The sequence below is a fragment of the Homo sapiens genome, chromosome 4 (assembly GCF_000001405.40).
Source record: "Homo sapiens chromosome 4, GRCh38.p14 Primary Assembly".
NCBI lineage: Eukaryota > Metazoa > Chordata > Mammalia > Primates > Hominidae > Homo > Homo sapiens.
This window is the reverse complement of record NC_000004.12, coordinates 1,815,622-1,830,503: the sequence shown is the minus strand read 5'-3', so window position 1 is coordinate 1,830,503 and position 14,882 is coordinate 1,815,622. Positions and strand designations below refer to the sequence as shown.

General features: G+C 56.3%; 1 protein-coding gene across 3 annotated transcripts in view, besides 1 other annotated feature; it reads left to right on the top strand.

The window, feature by feature from the left end:
* The window catches only part of LETM1 (leucine zipper and EF-hand containing transmembrane protein 1), a 44,678-nt gene that overhangs the window by 25,653 nt on the left and 4,143 nt on the right, over positions 1-14,882 (top strand). For 2 of the 3 annotated variants that reach the window (XM_006713884.2, XM_047415673.1), the window contains 7 exons: positions 4,821-4,940; positions 6,729-6,860; positions 7,373-7,516; positions 8,195-8,323; positions 11,032-11,166; positions 13,590-13,777; positions 14,702-14,840. In XM_006713884.2, the coding sequence (XP_006713947.1) occupies positions 4,821-4,940; positions 6,729-6,860; positions 7,373-7,516; positions 8,195-8,323; positions 11,032-11,166; positions 13,590-13,777; positions 14,702-14,840 (987 nt within the window). Of the gene's footprint in view, positions 1-4,820; positions 4,941-6,728; positions 6,861-7,372; positions 7,517-8,191; positions 8,324-11,031; positions 11,167-13,589; positions 13,778-14,701; positions 14,841-14,882 lie in introns of all 3 variants that reach the window. The other variant, NM_012318.3, reaches the window with a different exon arrangement.
* Positions 3,363-4,165: an enhancer, noted in NCBI's record as "H3K4me1 hESC enhancer chr4:1828066-1828868 (GRCh37/hg19 assembly coordinates)". NCBI's record gives its function as "activates a minimal SCP1, AML or CMV promoter by ChIP-STARR-seq in naive and primed H9 embryonic stem cells {active_cell/tissue: H9 hESC(naive and primed)}" and the evidence as "EXISTENCE:reporter gene assay evidence [ECO:0000049][PMID:30033119]".

The following is a 14,882-nucleotide window of genomic DNA, read 5'->3' as shown; positions in this document are numbered from 1 at the left end:
TAAAAATTAGCTGGGCTTGATGACTTGCGCCTGTAGCTCCAGCTACTCAGGAGGCTGAGGCAGGAGGATTGCTCGAGCTTGGGAGATTGAGCTTGCAGTGAGTTGTGATTGTGTCACTGCACTCAGCCTGGGCAACAGAGGGAGACTGTCTCTCAAAAAAATTTGAAAAAGAAGAACCAAATGAAAAATTACAACTGAAAAGTACAATATCTAAAGTCAAAACCTGGGTGGGCTCAACAGCAGAATGGATAAGATAAAAGACAGAACCAGTAAACATTAAGATAAAATGATAGAAATTACCTGTTTGAACAACAGAGAGAAAATAGTAGAAAACATTGTATAGAGCCCCACAGCCTGTGCTATAGCAAGTGTCAACCATCTGTGTTATCTGATGTTCCGGGGGAGAAAGGATAGAGCAGGGCTGAAAAAGTACCTCAAGAAATAATGGCTGGCTGAAAACTTCCCAGGCTCAGTTAAAGATGTAAATCTGCAAATTTCAGAAGCTGAGTGAACCCTGAGTAGGATAAATCCAAATAAATTCACAGCAAGTCACGTCAGAGTCAAACTAATGAACCCTGAAGACAAAGGGTTTTTAAGGCAGTGAGAGAAAGGCATCGTGTGTGTGTGTGTGTGTCGTTGTTTCATTTATGAATGCCAGGTCTTTTTTTGGGTTTTGGGGGAGATGGTGTCTTGTTCTGTTGCCCAGGCTGGAGTGCAGTCCACTGGCACAATCTCAACTCACTGTAGCCTTGATCTCCTGGACCCAAGCCATCCTCCCACCTCAGCCCCCTGAGTAGCTAGGACCACAGGCCTGTGCCACCACACCGGCTAGTTTTGTTTATTTTTCTTGTAGAGATGAGGTCTTACTATTAGGCTGCCCAAGCTGGTCTGGAACTCCTGGGCTCAAGTGATTCTCCCACCTTGGCCTCCCAAAATGTTGGGATTACAGGCGTGAGCCACTGTTCCTGGCCAAGAACGGCATCTTTACCATTAGGGGAAAATTTGAATGACAATGGATTTCTCATCAGGAACTGTGGAGACCAGAGGAAGTGGAGCATTATTTTTCAAGTGTTAAAAGAACTGTCCGGGAGGGAGGTTGGGGGGTCAGCCCCCCGCCCGGCCAGCCGCCCCATCCGGGAGGGAGGTGGGGGGGTCAGCCCTCCGCCTGGCCAGCCGCCCCGTCTGGGAGGTGAGGGGCGCCTCTGCCCGGCCGCCCCTACTGGGAAGTGAGGAGCCCCTCTGCCCGGCCAGCCGCCCCGTCCGGGAGGGAGGTGGGGGGGTCGGCCCCCCGCCCGGCCAGCCGCCCCGTCCGGGAGGGAGGTGGGGGGGGGGTCAGCCCCCCTGCCCGGCCAGCCGCCCCGTCCGGGAGGTGAGGGGCGCCTCTGCCCGGCCGCCCCTACTGGGAAGTGAGGAGCCCCTCTGCCCGGCCAGCCGCCCCGTCCAGGAGGGAGGTGGGGGGGTCAGCTCCCGCCCGGCCAGCCGCCCCGTCCGGGAGGGAGGTGGGGGGGGGTCAGCCCCCCTGCCCGGCCAGCCGCCCCGTCCGGGAGGTGAGGGGCGCCTCTGCCCGGCCACCCCTACTGGGAAGTGAGGAGCCCCTCTGCCCGGCCAGCCGCCCCGTCCGGGAGGGAGGTGGGGGTGTCAGCCTCCCGCCCGGCCAGCCGCCCCGTCCGGGAGGGAGGTGGGGGGGGTCAGCCCCCCTGCCCGGCCAGCCGCCCCGTCCGGGGGGTGGGGGGCGCCTCTGCCCGGCCGCCCCTGCTGGGAAGTGGGGAGCCCCTCTGCCCGGCCAGCCGCCCCATCCGGGAGGGAGGTTGGGGGGTCAGCCCCCCGCCCAGCCAGCTGCCCCGTCCGGGAGGTGGGGGGCGCCTCTGCCCGGCCGCCCCTACTGGGAAGTGAGGAGCCCCTCTGCCCGGCCAGCCGCCCCGTCCAGGAGGGAGGTGGGGGGGTCAGCCCCCGCCCGGCCAGCCGCCCCGTCCGGGAGGGAGGTGGGGGGGGGGGTCAGCCCCCCTGCCCGGCCAGCCGCCCCGTCCGGGAGGTGAGGGGCGCCTCTGCCCGGCCGCCCCTACTGGGAAGTGAGGAGCCCCTCTGCCCGGCCAGCCGCCCCGTCCGGGAGGGAGGTGGGGGTGTCAGCCCCCCGCCCGGCCAGCCGCCCCGTCCGGGAGGGAGGTGGGGGGGGTCAGCCCCCCTGCCCGGCCAGCCGCCCCGTCCGGGAGGGAGGTGGGGGGGTCAGCCCCCCGCCCGGCCAGCCGCCCCGTCCGGGAGGGAGGTGGGGGGCGGTCAGCCCCCCCCGCCCGGCCAGCCGCCCCGTCCGGGAGGTGAGGGGCGCCTCTGCCCGGCCGCCCCTACTGGGAAGTGAGGAGCCCCTCTGCCCGGCCAGCCGCCCCGTCCGGGAGGGAGGTGGGGGTGTCAGCCCCCCTGCCCGGCCAGCCGCCCCGTCCGGGAGGGAGGTGGGGGGGGTCAGCCCCCCTGCCCGGCCAGCCGCCCCGTCCGGGTTGGGGGGCGCCTCTGCCCGGCCGCCCCTGCTGGGAAGTGGGGAGCCCCTCTGCCCGGCCAGCCGCCCCATCCGGGAGGGAGGTTGGGGGGTCAGCCCCCCGCCCAGCCAGCCGCCCCGTCCGGGAGGTGGGGGGGGCGCCTCTGCCCGGCCGCCCCTACTGGGAAGTGAGGAGCCCCTCTGCCCGGCCACCACCCCGTCTGGGAGGTGTGCCCAACAGCTCATTGAGAACGGGCCAGGATGACAATGGCGGCTTTGTGGAATAGAAAGGCGGGAAAGGTGGGGAAAAGATTGAGAAATCGGATGGTTGCCGTGTCTGTGTAGAAAGAAGTAGGCATGGGAGACTTTTCATTTTGTTCTGCACTAAGAAAAATTCCTCTGCCTTGGGATCCTGTTGATCTGTGACCTTACCCCCAACCCTGTGCTCTCTGAAACATGTGCTGTGTCCACTCAGGGTTAAATGGATTAAGGGCGGTGCAAGATGTGCTTTGTTAAACAGATGCTTGAAGGCAGCATGCTCGTTAAGAGTCATCACCAATCCCTAATCTCAAGTAATCAGGGACACAAACACTGCGGAAGGCCGCAGGGTCCTCTGCCTAGGAAAACCAGAGACCTTTGTTCACTTGTTTATCTGCTGACCTTCCCTCCACTATTGTCCCATGACCCTGCCAAATCCCCCTCTGTGAGAAACACCCAAGAATTATCAATAAAAAAATAAATTAAAAAAAAAAAAAAAAAAAAGAACTGTCAATCCAGGATCTATAACCAGCAAAAATATAGCAATGATGGGGAGCCAAGGCAGTATCAGAGGGAAGGAAGCTAAGACTGTGTCACCAGCAGACCTCCCCTAAAGGAAGGGCTGAGGGAAGCTCCTCGACCAGAAAGGAAACAGTAAGAGAAAGTACCTCGGCGCAGCAGGAAGAGTTCCCAGCAACCAGAGCGAGGGTCGGCATGGCGAGCTGCCCTCTCCCTGCGCCTTCTGCAGTGAGCGGGGCTGAGGGACGGGCTCCACGGTGTGGGTGGAGGCGACGATGCGAGTGGAGGCGACACCTGAGACTCAGAACAGACGGAGGGGAAGCTTCAGCACTTGCCTTCGTGGGTGGAGCGCCGACTCCACTGCACTACAGTGAGCTGCGTCCGTGGATTGTGTATCGTGATCCCCAGAGCAACACTGAAAATGCTGCACAGACTCCAGACCACCAGAGCGAAATCAAACGGAGGCCAGCCAGCCCCCAGGAGGACAGGGAGAAGAAAGCAGACAGAAAGCATCTTCATTCCTGATCAACTGGCGGAGCCCAGCTTAGTGGGCGAAGGGTTCGGCTAAGGAGGGCACGCATGCTGCAGAATGCCGCATGGCAGTGAGAGGCCTAACCCGGCACACCCATAGCACCCCCAGTGGGTCCTCAGGGAACCCCAGAGGTGACTCCTGCATGATCCTGTTCAGAGAGCACTCCAGGTGACAGCAGCAGACATGGAGACAAGCGCGTCTGTGAACGGGCAGCACCGGGAGCTGGGGAAGGTGGCCTCTGTCTTGACTGGGTGGGTGGCATGTGCTAATTGCAGTGCTGCTGGTGAGACATTATGCTAGGGGAGGCATCTGATGCATGGGAGCTTTGTTACTTGTTAAAACTGGATGTGTGTCCACAGTTACGTCAAGTTTGGTTTTAGAAGTGGAGGTGGTGGTACTGTCTACCCCACAGGGTGGTTGTGATGTGGAGTGAACTCTGAGATGGGGGGCCCTACTGCAGAGTCCTGGCATGGGAGCCCTGTTGCCGGCATCTGCCTAGCAGTAGCTGTCATTACTTCTCCGTGTCTCTCTTCACCTGTTGCTCCCTGTATGCCTTGGTGTCCTCTACCTCTGGGACTCCTGTTTGCTTTTCCAGTTGGTGTCACAGTGACCTTGGGCTGAGCAGAAGAGAGGGGCCCTTTGGGTATGAGGTCAAGATGTGTCTTCAGAGTGTCTGGTTCCCTCGCCTTCCATCCCTCCTTCTTTTCCATCCTGGGCACACTTTGGCAGATGGGGGACTGGGGGATCAGGAGAAACAGCAGGTGGCAGGAGTGGCCAGGGTGGGGCTGGTTCTGCCATCAGGACAGAGGGTTGGAGGTGGACTTCTTTGTCTCGGGGTTGACCGTGGCCGTTCTGCACTTCCCAAGATCCTGACCCTCCGTCACAGGCTTCCAGTCACTTCTAACCTAGAACTGGGCTTTGGTGGCCGTGGTTTGATTCTTGCTTGGCAAAATCTGTTAGCCACTTATTCTGGAGGGTGTTCACACAGACACTGTCACCCACCAGCAACTGTCCCAGATGATAATTCACTGCTTTGTTTTCTAGCTGATTGCTGAGGAAGGGGTGGACAGCCTGAATGTCAAGGAGCTGCAGGCAGCGTGTCGGGCACGAGGCATGCGGGCCCTGGGCGTCACGGAAGACCGCCTGAGGGGTCAGCTGAAGCAGGTGCGTGAATATTGGCCTGGTGCCAGGCCGGCACGGGCTCAAGGGAAACATCAGCCTCGAAAGGCCACTCGGAGGCTCTTCCCAAACTCTGGGCCGGCCTGGCGAGGCGACACTGTGACCTCTCTGGGGACGGCCAGGATGTTTGGGCTGTTTCTCGCCCTTCTGCTCCTACCGCACTCACACCCCTGCATTCGCACCTTTCATTGCCTTTTGAATATTGCTTTGATTTTTCTTGTTTGCTTTTAGTTGATTTTAAAGACCTTAATAACTTACTATTTTGGTTATCTGTAGTCAGATGAGGACTGGAGTTCACCTCTGAGATGTCGGACGTGTTCACATTTTGACTCTTTCTGAACTGGGGCCATGGAAGGTTTGGGTGGCATGGCACGGTCTGACTTTGGAGCCGCCCCTTCTCTTGGCCACGCCCTGTGCTGGTGCCTGGTTCCCAATGCCATCAAATTGAGTGGCTTGTAGGTCGGAAAGTGACAGCCCCAGCCACTCACTCTTACATGGAAAGGTTAAGGGGTGCAGGGCTCCAGCCGGTTTCCTCCCGGTGCCCTGGCACTGGCATGCCCTTGTTGGCAGTCATCCTCCTCCCGGGTTTTTCACACAACCTGCAAGTGTAGATGAAGGTGTGTGTACACACTTCTCCTCTCGACACAGACAGTATTTATGGCGTGATCCTGTGGCACCCCCTGCCTTCCACAGCCGCGTCTTCCATCGGATTCCCCAGCAGAGCCTTCTCTGTGTCTGGCATGGGTGCTGACCTCCCTAGCACTCTGCCCAGCCTTCTGGAGCTCCGTGGGGATATGGGCCACACACACAGGGGTGTCTGAGCAGGGGGGCAGGTGCTGTCCCTGCCCAGGCCCCTCGGCCCCCAGGGGAGTGTGGCGCATTGGGGGCCCGAGTGTCATGTGTTCACACTTTTCCTTCTCTACCCACCTCTCGGTGGTGCCTTTCTTCTCTTAGGGTTTGTTCTCATATTTTCTCTACCCACTTCTCCTCAGCGTTGCCTTTCTTCTCTTAGGGTTTGTTCTCATGTTTTGCCCCGTGTTCAGTTTGTCTCTAAACATTGTCACGGTCTTTCTTGCCCATTTGGAGATTGTCTTGGTGTTACTCAAGCAGCCAGCCCCGGAACCTGGCCTGTGCAGAGCCTGCAAGGGCCCGAGTGCTGACCGGCCTCAGTGACACTGCCTCTGCGGGCCCGTATATGTTGACCTGGGCTGGTCTTGTTTCTTTGTTTGAGACAGAGTCTTGCTCTGTCACACAGGCTGGAGTGCAGTGGCGCGATTTCGGCTTGAAACAACCTCCGCCTCCCTGGTTCAAGCAATTCTTGTGCCTCAGCCACCCAAGTAGCTGGGACTACAGGTGCACACCACTATACCTGGCTAATTTTTGTATTTTTAGTAGAGATGGGATCGCCATGTTGGCCAGGCTGGTCTCGAACTTCTGACCTCAGGTGATCCGCCCACCTCGGCCTCCCAAAGTGCTGGGATTACAGGCGTGAGCCACCGCGCCCGGCCCCTGGGGTGTTTTTAAGTGAAGAGTTGGTGCCCTGTTCTGAGGCCCTTGGGGTCCTCGCTGTGGGGGTTGCTGACCCCCAAGCCTCTCTGGTGTTTTGTTTACTAACGCCGTCATCGGGTCACGCAGCACAGCAACAAACAGACCTTGTAGAACTTGAGACACTGTCTTCTCTGAGAGCTATTCTGGTGATGAGATGGGCGGACCTGCTGTGGGGCCAGCAGGGTTGGGGGGCTGCCCATCTGCTGAACCTGGCCTTGGTTGCAGTGGCTGGACCTGCACCTGCATCAGGAGATCCCCACATCGCTGCTCATCCTGTCCCGGGCCATGTACCTCCCGGACACCCTCTCTCCAGCCGACCAGCTCAAGTCCACACTGCAGACCCTCCCAGAGATTGTGGTACGTGCTGTCGGAGACCCCTTTTACCTCATCTCTTCATAGGTGGCTCCGCTCTTCTGGGGTGGGGGGAGGTGTGCAAGCGCACTCATTCCTCAACCATGGGCGAGGAGCCTGCCTCCCACCCCCTCGCGAGTGCCCCCACCCAGCCACCTGTCCCCTTCCTTCCATCCCTCCTCACCAGCCCCTTGCCTGCCATCCCCCGTGTGGCACAGTTGCCAGTGGTCCCGACCTGGCCACGTGTTGGCTGCTGTGGATCTGGGCCGCGGCCCTTGGAGCTGTGTCAGCAGCGCCTATGCTCCTTCCCACATGTCAGGAGTCATCGGGCGAGCGCAGAGGGCGGCCCAGGGGCCTCCCAGCAATTGCGGGCAGCACCTCGGCAGTGCCTTCTGTCCTGTGTGTGTGAAGCCCAGGTGGTGACGGGGCAGGGGACACAGGACACAGGACAGAGGTGAGGGGCAGCAGGGGCCTCTGGTGGCTTCTGGGCTCACCCACAGATGTACCCTCTTCTGAAGGCAAAGGAAGCACAGGTGAAAGTGGCCGAGGTGGAGGGCGAGCAGGTGGACAACAAGGCCAAGCTGGAGGCCACGCTGCAGGAGGAGGCGGCCATCCAGCAGGAGCACCGTGAGAAGGAGCTGCAGAAGCGCTCGGAGGTGGCGGTAAGCGGTGGTCCTGCTCCGTGCCGCGTGGGGCTGTCCTGAGCCAGCCTCCCTAGAAACCCCCGCACGCCCACAGTCTTGGCCTCCCGCATGCTTGCCCTGCAGCTCTGTCCTGCATGTTTATTTCCTCCTGGAGTGGTCAGGGAGGCAGGGTGCCCGGGTGTGAGGGCTGCAACTCTGACATGGGGACTCCCCGATGGCCACAGTGGTGCTCATGGGAGATATACCTTAGCCGTCTCAGAGGGGCAAGCTTAGCATATGGCAGTGCCCACCCTCTCCTCAGGGACTTGCTGTGAGGGGCGCTGGCAGAGGAGCTGCAGGCTCCCCCAGCCTCTGGGCTCCTCTTCAACGCGGGCCCTGTGGTCCTCTTGGGTCACATGCATGGTGCCCACCCACAGGCTCAGCCTCCTGCTCTGCAAGTGACAGGGCAGCTTGGGGGAGTCTTGGGGAGACCAGAGATGGATAAGGTGCTCTAGCCTGTTCTGGAGAGGGCCCCAGGTGACCTGGCAGCTGCATGGAGCCTCCCTAGGGACCTTCTGTGGCAGGTGTGCTGCCCAATGTCACCTGCAGGCCTGCTCCCAGTGTGGCCTCTGCCATATGTTCTGAGCTTCGGGGAGCAAGAAGACTGCTTCTGTGTGATGGCGGGCGCTGGGCTGGTGTCGCCTTGCCTTTCAGAAGGATTTTGAGCCCGAACGTGTGGTAGCTGCTCCCCAAAGGCCGGGGACCGAGCCACAGCCAGAAATGCCTGACACAGTCCTGCAGTCAGAGACCTTGAAGGACACTGCCCCGGTGCTGGAGGGCTTGAAGGTAATGAGGCAGGTTCTGGGGCCCTGGAGGCTGAGGAGGGCATGGCCTGGCTTTGTGGACAGTTGTGGGGCAGGGATGGGGACAGGTTAGCTGGGGCATCTATAGCCCTCAGTGAGAGGAGATGGTGCAAGGGGTTGAGGATGAGGCCACTGGGCCCCTAGGAGGCTTGGTGGTTAGGAAAAGAGTGAGTCCGGCCGGGCTCCGCACTGTGCCTGGGTGCACAGCAGCTGACGCTGCCGTGAACTTAGCACCCTGGCCCACAGTGTGGCAGGTAGAGATGCCAGTCGGCAGGTTTCAGGGCCCTTTGCCAGCTTGCCCAGACAGTGAAGGGGTGTGGAAGCCAATGTGGCCCCTCAAGGTAGAGCCTCCTCCACAGGCCCAACCTGCTGTCACCTCCTGTGGGGTGATCTGGGCTTGGAGCATCTTCAGACTCCCCATGCGAGCCTGTGAGGTGCAGCCTCCAGGCGCCTGTGCTGCCTACCTGGGGCGCCTCCTGGTACCTTCCATCTTGAACTCGCGGGCTGAAGTGCAGTGGCGCCATCTCGGCTCAGTGCAGTCTCAGCCTCCCAGGTTCAAGCAACTCTTCTGCCTCAGCCTCCCAATATCTGGGAGTACAGGCGTGCACCACCAGACCCAGCAAATTTTTGTATTTTTAGTAGACAGGGGGTTTCACCATGTTAGCCAGGCTGGTCTCAAACCCCTGACCTCAAGTGATCTTCCCGCCTCAGCCTCCCAAAGTGCTAGGATTACAGGTGTGAGCCACCACACCCAGCCATAAAAAAAAAATTTGGCCAGGCGCAGTGGCTCACGCCTGTAATCCCAGCATTTTGGGAGGCCGAGGTGGGCGGATCACGGGGTCAGGAGATCGAGACCATCCTGGCTAACATGGTGAAACCCCATTTCTACTAAAAATACAAAAAATTAGCCAGACATGGTGGCATGCACCTGTAGTCCCAGCTACTCAGGAGGCTGAAACAGGAGAATGGTGTGAACCTGGGAGGCAGAGCTTGCAGTGGGTGACAGAGTGAGACTCTGTCTCAAAAAAAAAAAAAAAAAATTTCACTTTTTAGCAAATCAAATAGAACTATTCTGTAAAAAGAATCATGATCACATGGGATTTGTCCAAAAAATGCAAATTGGCTTGAATTTTTTTTCTTTTGAGGTGGGATCTCACTCTGTTGCCCAGTCTGCAGTGCAGACATGACCTTGGCTCACTGAAGACTTGACCTCCCAGGCTCAAGTGATTCTCCTGCCTCAGCCTCCCGAGTAGCTGGGATTATAGGTGCCCACCACCACACCCAGCTAATTGTTGTATTTTTAGTAGAGATGGGGTTTCACCATGTTGGCCAGGCTGGTCTCGAACTCCTGACCTCAAGTGATCCTCCCACCTCGACCTCCCAAAGTGCTGGGTTTACAGGCTTGAGCCACTGTGCCTGGCCAAAATTTTTAAAATGTAATTTCCATATTAACAGACTAAATTAGAAAAGCTGGGAATGTTTATCTTGGTAGCTGCAGAAAGAGCCTGTGGCAGAACCCAGTATCTGTTCCTGATATGCAGATGTCCTGCACATGCAGGCAGCTTTCTCAGCCCAATCAAAAGCATCTGCAGAAACACCTCCAGCTGCCGTCACCCTCAGTGGTGAGACGCTGATGAGGTTGTCTGTCCTCACTCTGAGCTCAGCATCAGCTTGGGGGTTTCAGTCAGGGCAGTTGAATACAGAAAACAAAACCATATAGATCAGAAAGGAAAAAGGAAAACTCTTTATTCACAAATGGTGTGAACAATCAATTGTGCTTCACTATGGTAATGAGTAGTCAGAGAAGGTTTGAACAGTATGGCACCCCCCAAAATGAACTACTTAGGGATAAATTTGGAAAAAGATATGCAAGTGCTGTCCACGGAGTACTGTAAAATGTTGCTGAGGGAAAGAAAAACCAAACAGAGAGGCTGGGCGCGGGGCCCACACCTGTGATATCAGCACTGTGGGAAGCCGAGGTGGGAGGATCGTCTGAGTCCAGGAGTTTGAGACCAGCCTGGGCAACATAGTGAGACGCCGTCTTTACAAAAAATAAAAAGTTGGACAGATATGTCAGTGTGTGCCTGTAGTCCCAGCTCCTGGGGAGGCTGAGGCAGGAGATTGCTTGAGCTTGGGAGATCAAGCCTGCAGCAAGCCATGATTGCACCACTGCCCTCCAGCCTGGGCAACAGAGTGAGACCCTGTCTCAAAAAACAAGACAAGAAACACACGACCACAGGGGCAAATCTCAAAATAAGTGAGTGAGAGAAGTCAGACAAAAAGAGTGCTTGCTGGATGATCCGTCTATCTAAGATGCTAGAAAGTGCACCCGAGTCTGCAGTGGCAGGACCTGAGGTTGCCTGGGGGTCGGTGGCGGGACCCAGTGGGGGCACAAAGATGCATTTGGAGGTGACTCTTTGACTGTAGTGAAGTTTCACAGTACACGTGTCAATTCATAGATGACGCGCTTTAAACAAATGGGGTTTGGCATATGAGGGCAGACAGTGACTGCGTGCAGCAGCCAGCGCAGCAGTGAACCTGAACCCCGCGGGTCTCTTGTTACCAATGACTGTCCAGTGAGACTCTTGCCCTGGGCTGCCCGTATAATATGAACAGAGCAGCTGGTCACTTGGGAACAGGCCAGTTCTTTCCCTTGGCTCAGGCTTTGTTGTTTGCCCATTTTTATCCCAGGAGGAAGAGATCACGAAGGAGGAAATCGACATCCTCAGCGATGCCTGCTCTAAGCTGCAGGAGCAGAAGAAGTCACTCACCAAGGAGAAGGAGGAGCTGGAGCTGCTGAAGGAGGATGTGCAGGACTACAGCGAGGTGGGTGGGATTTGCTCCCTGGACTCTGAGACTGCAAGAAGAGTAAAATCGCTGTACTGGCCCCAAAAGTATACATAATACTTCCGTCAGATACTTGATAAGCTGGCCAAAGAGTATTTGGAGAGGAAAGCACGTTATAAATAAACCTTATTCAGTAACCTTTCCACAGCCATTCCGGCTGGACCAATCCTCTGTAATGTGGCTGTGTGCCGTTCTGGCCACAGATGTGTGTGCACCTTTTTTTTTTTTTTTTTGTAAGAAGGTCTTGCTCTGTTGCCCAGGCCAGAGTGCAGTGGCACAATTTCAGCTCATTGCAACCTCCACCTCCTGGGTTCAAGCAATTCTTGTGCCTCAGCCTCCCGAGTGGATGAGACTGTAAACATGTGCCACCATGCCCAGCTCAATTTTTTGTATTTTTAGTAGAGACGGGGTTTCACCATGTTGACCAGGCTCATCTCGAACTCCTGGCCCCAGGTGACCGACCTGCCTCGCCCTCTCAAAGTGCTGGGATTACAGGCGTGGCCACCGTGCCTGGCCACATCTTTTAGTTTCTAAACATGGGAAGGTGTCTCATGAAGAGTTTGGTCACTTGACGAGATCTTATTCATGATTACGTGAAAGTGGCTTTTTTCTTTTCTTCCATGGTGGTTTGTTTCCCTTTTTTTGTAAATATTACTTCCTAATAACGATTTTTTTTCTTTCTTTCTTTCTTTTTTTCTTTTTTTGAGACGAAGTCTAGCTCTGTCGCCCAGGCTGGAGTGCAGTGGCGTGATCTCGACTCACTGCAACTTCCGCCTCCTGGGTTCAAATGATTCTTCTGCCTCAGCCTCCTGAGTAGCTGGGACTACAGGCATGTGCCACCATGCCTGGCTAATTTTTTGTATTTTTAGTAGAGACAGGGTTTCACCATGTTGACCAGGCTGGTCTCGAACTCCTGACCTCATGATCCACCCGCCTCAGCCTCCCAAAGTGCTGGGATTACAAACATGAGCCACTGTGCCCGGCCCCTAATACGATTTTTTAAAAACTGTTTTCATAGCTCTGTTGGGAATGATAACTGATTTTTCAATTGGCAAAAATAATTGGCCATTTCTAGATTTATGACAGCCCTCATGCCATGTGGGTTCTCCACTGGATGTGAGGTGCTTATCACCAGCTCAGCCTGTTCCTTCCCTCCCCTCCCCTCGCCTTCCCCATTCTTCCTCATGGTGTTTACTCGTGGGAAAAAAACAACTTGGAATTTAAAAAGACACTTAAGGCTGGGCACTGGTGGCTCAGGCCTGTAATCCCAGCACTTTGGGAGGTCAAGGCAGGAGGATCACTTGAGCTCAGGAGTTTGAGACCGGCCTGGGCAACATGGTGAAACACCATTTCTGCAAAAAATACAAAAATTAGCCAGGCATGATGTTGTGTGCCTGTACTCCCAGCTACTCCAGAGACTGAGGCAGGAGGATTGCTTGGGAGTGGGAGGCTGGGAGTTGGAGGCTGCAGTGAGCTGAGATCATGCCACTTTACTCCAGTCTGGGTGACAGAGCAAGACCCTATCTCAAAAAACAAAGACACTTAATTTCCTTGATTAATTAGTTCACTTAATTTTTCTTTAACAAATGTGAAGGAAATTGAGATTCAGAATAGATTCTATGTCTTTTGCTTGCAAGGCAGTGTACAAAAATAAGAAATTTGTATGATAGAAATACAATTTTATAACTCTCTGGTTTGAATTAATGGGTTTAATTACCTTTACAAGTTAATTTATTACCTTTTTTTGTTGTTGTTTGAGATAGGGTCTCGCTCTGTCACTCAGGCTGAAGTGCAGTGATGTGATCTTGGCTCACTGCAGCCTCCACCTCCTGGGCTCAAGCCATCCTCCTGTCTCAGACTCCTGGGTAGCTGGCACTACAGGTGTGCACCACCACGCCTGGCTAATTTTTTGTTTGAATTTTGGTAGAGATAAAGTCTTGCTATGTTGCCTGGTCTGGTTTCGAACTCCTGTCCTCAAGTGATCCTCCTGCCTTGGCCTCCCAAAGTTCTGGGATTACAGGCATGAGTCACTGTGCCCAACCAGATTCTTTTTTTTTTTTTTTTTTTTTTTGGAGACAGAGTCTCGCTCTGTTGCCCAGGCTGGAGTGCGTTGGCATGGTCTTGGCTCACTGCAGCCTCTGCCTCCTGGGTTCAAGCGATTCTCCTGCCTCAGCCTCCCAAGTAACTGGATTACAGGTGCCTGCCATCATGCCCAGCTAATTTTTGTATTTTTAGTAGAGGCGGGGTTTCACCACATTGGCCAGGCTGGTCTCGAACTCCTAACCTCAGGTGATCCGCCCGCCTTGGCCTTGCAAAGTACTGGGATTACAGGCGTGAGCCACTACACCTGACCCCCTTTTTCTTTTAAGACAAACTTTTTACAACCAAAATAATTTTATTAGGACTTGCAGGAGATCAAGAAGGAACTTTCAAAGACTGGTGAAGAAAAGTACGTGGAAGAATCTAAAGCCAGCAAGAGATTGACAAAAAGGGTGCAGCAAATGATCGGGCAGATCGATGGCTTGATCTCGCAGCTGGAGATGGACCAGCAGGCTGGCAAGCTGGCCCCGGCCAACGGCATGCCCACGGGGTGAGTGGGGTGGTGGGCGCGGGAGAGGGATCGGAGACTCACATAGGGAGGCTGGTCCCTTTGCTGGATCCGAGCTGGGCCCTTCTGGCTCCAAAGGGCACATTGTAGCCTCTGCCTGGCTGCCTCTCCACCTTTGACCAGCAGTCCCAGCCAGGAACCCTCTGGCATGTCAGTCTCTGCCTCTCCGAGAGCAGTTCGTCCCTTCCTGGCCCCTCTTCCTCTTCCCACAGCCCCCTCTCCTCCCGCTCCAACCTCCACCTCTGTTGGCTTCTGTTTCCTCTAATTACCAGGCTCTCTCTTGCCTCTCCCTCTTCCTGACCCCACCCACGCTCAGTAATGACACCAGCTCGGGCAGTCGGCCTTCTCTGTGCCCGACATGTCCCAGATTCCTGCGCAGCAGTGGCTGAGGGAGCTGCCGTTTTGTGAGTCCCTTCTGGGCGAATGAAACAGCTGTTGGGTGACTGCTGGTGCCCTGCAGGTTCCAAATCTCCACCTCCACACCCACAGTGTTGTAGGTGGGCTGCACGTGGCACCCTGCTCATGCTCTCGTCCCTGCTCTTGGAGGCCCTCATCTGCCCAGGGCACCACAGCCCCCATGATCGTGAACGTATTGCCAAGTGGCCACAGGCCTGAGGACAACAGCCCAGCAGCCATGGCCCCAGAGGGGCAGCCACTGAGGGGCAGACATGCCCGTGGAAACCCTGGACCTGGTGGTGTTTCTGTGTTTGTGTCCACGCTGGCCCTGGGAGCTCTTGGCATTGTATGCAGGATGGGATCATACCTTGGGGGTCCGTGCTGGAGGTTGCCTGGCTCACGCGGAGCCGCCTGTGTCAGTGCTGACCACTTGCAGCCACAGGTGTGGGCAGTGAGGCCCTGTGTGGCAGGACGCCTGCCCGTGGCCACATGCAGGCTGTGCTTCCACAGGGAGAACGTCATCAGTGTCGCTGAGCTCATCAACGCCATGAAGCAAGTCAAGCACATTCCCGAAAGCAAGCTCACCAGCCTGGCCGCAGCACTGGATGAAAACAAGGATGGCAAGGTCAACATCGACGACCTCGTCAAGGTGGGCCTCGCTGGGGACCACGCAGGCCATCCGCCACCTGCT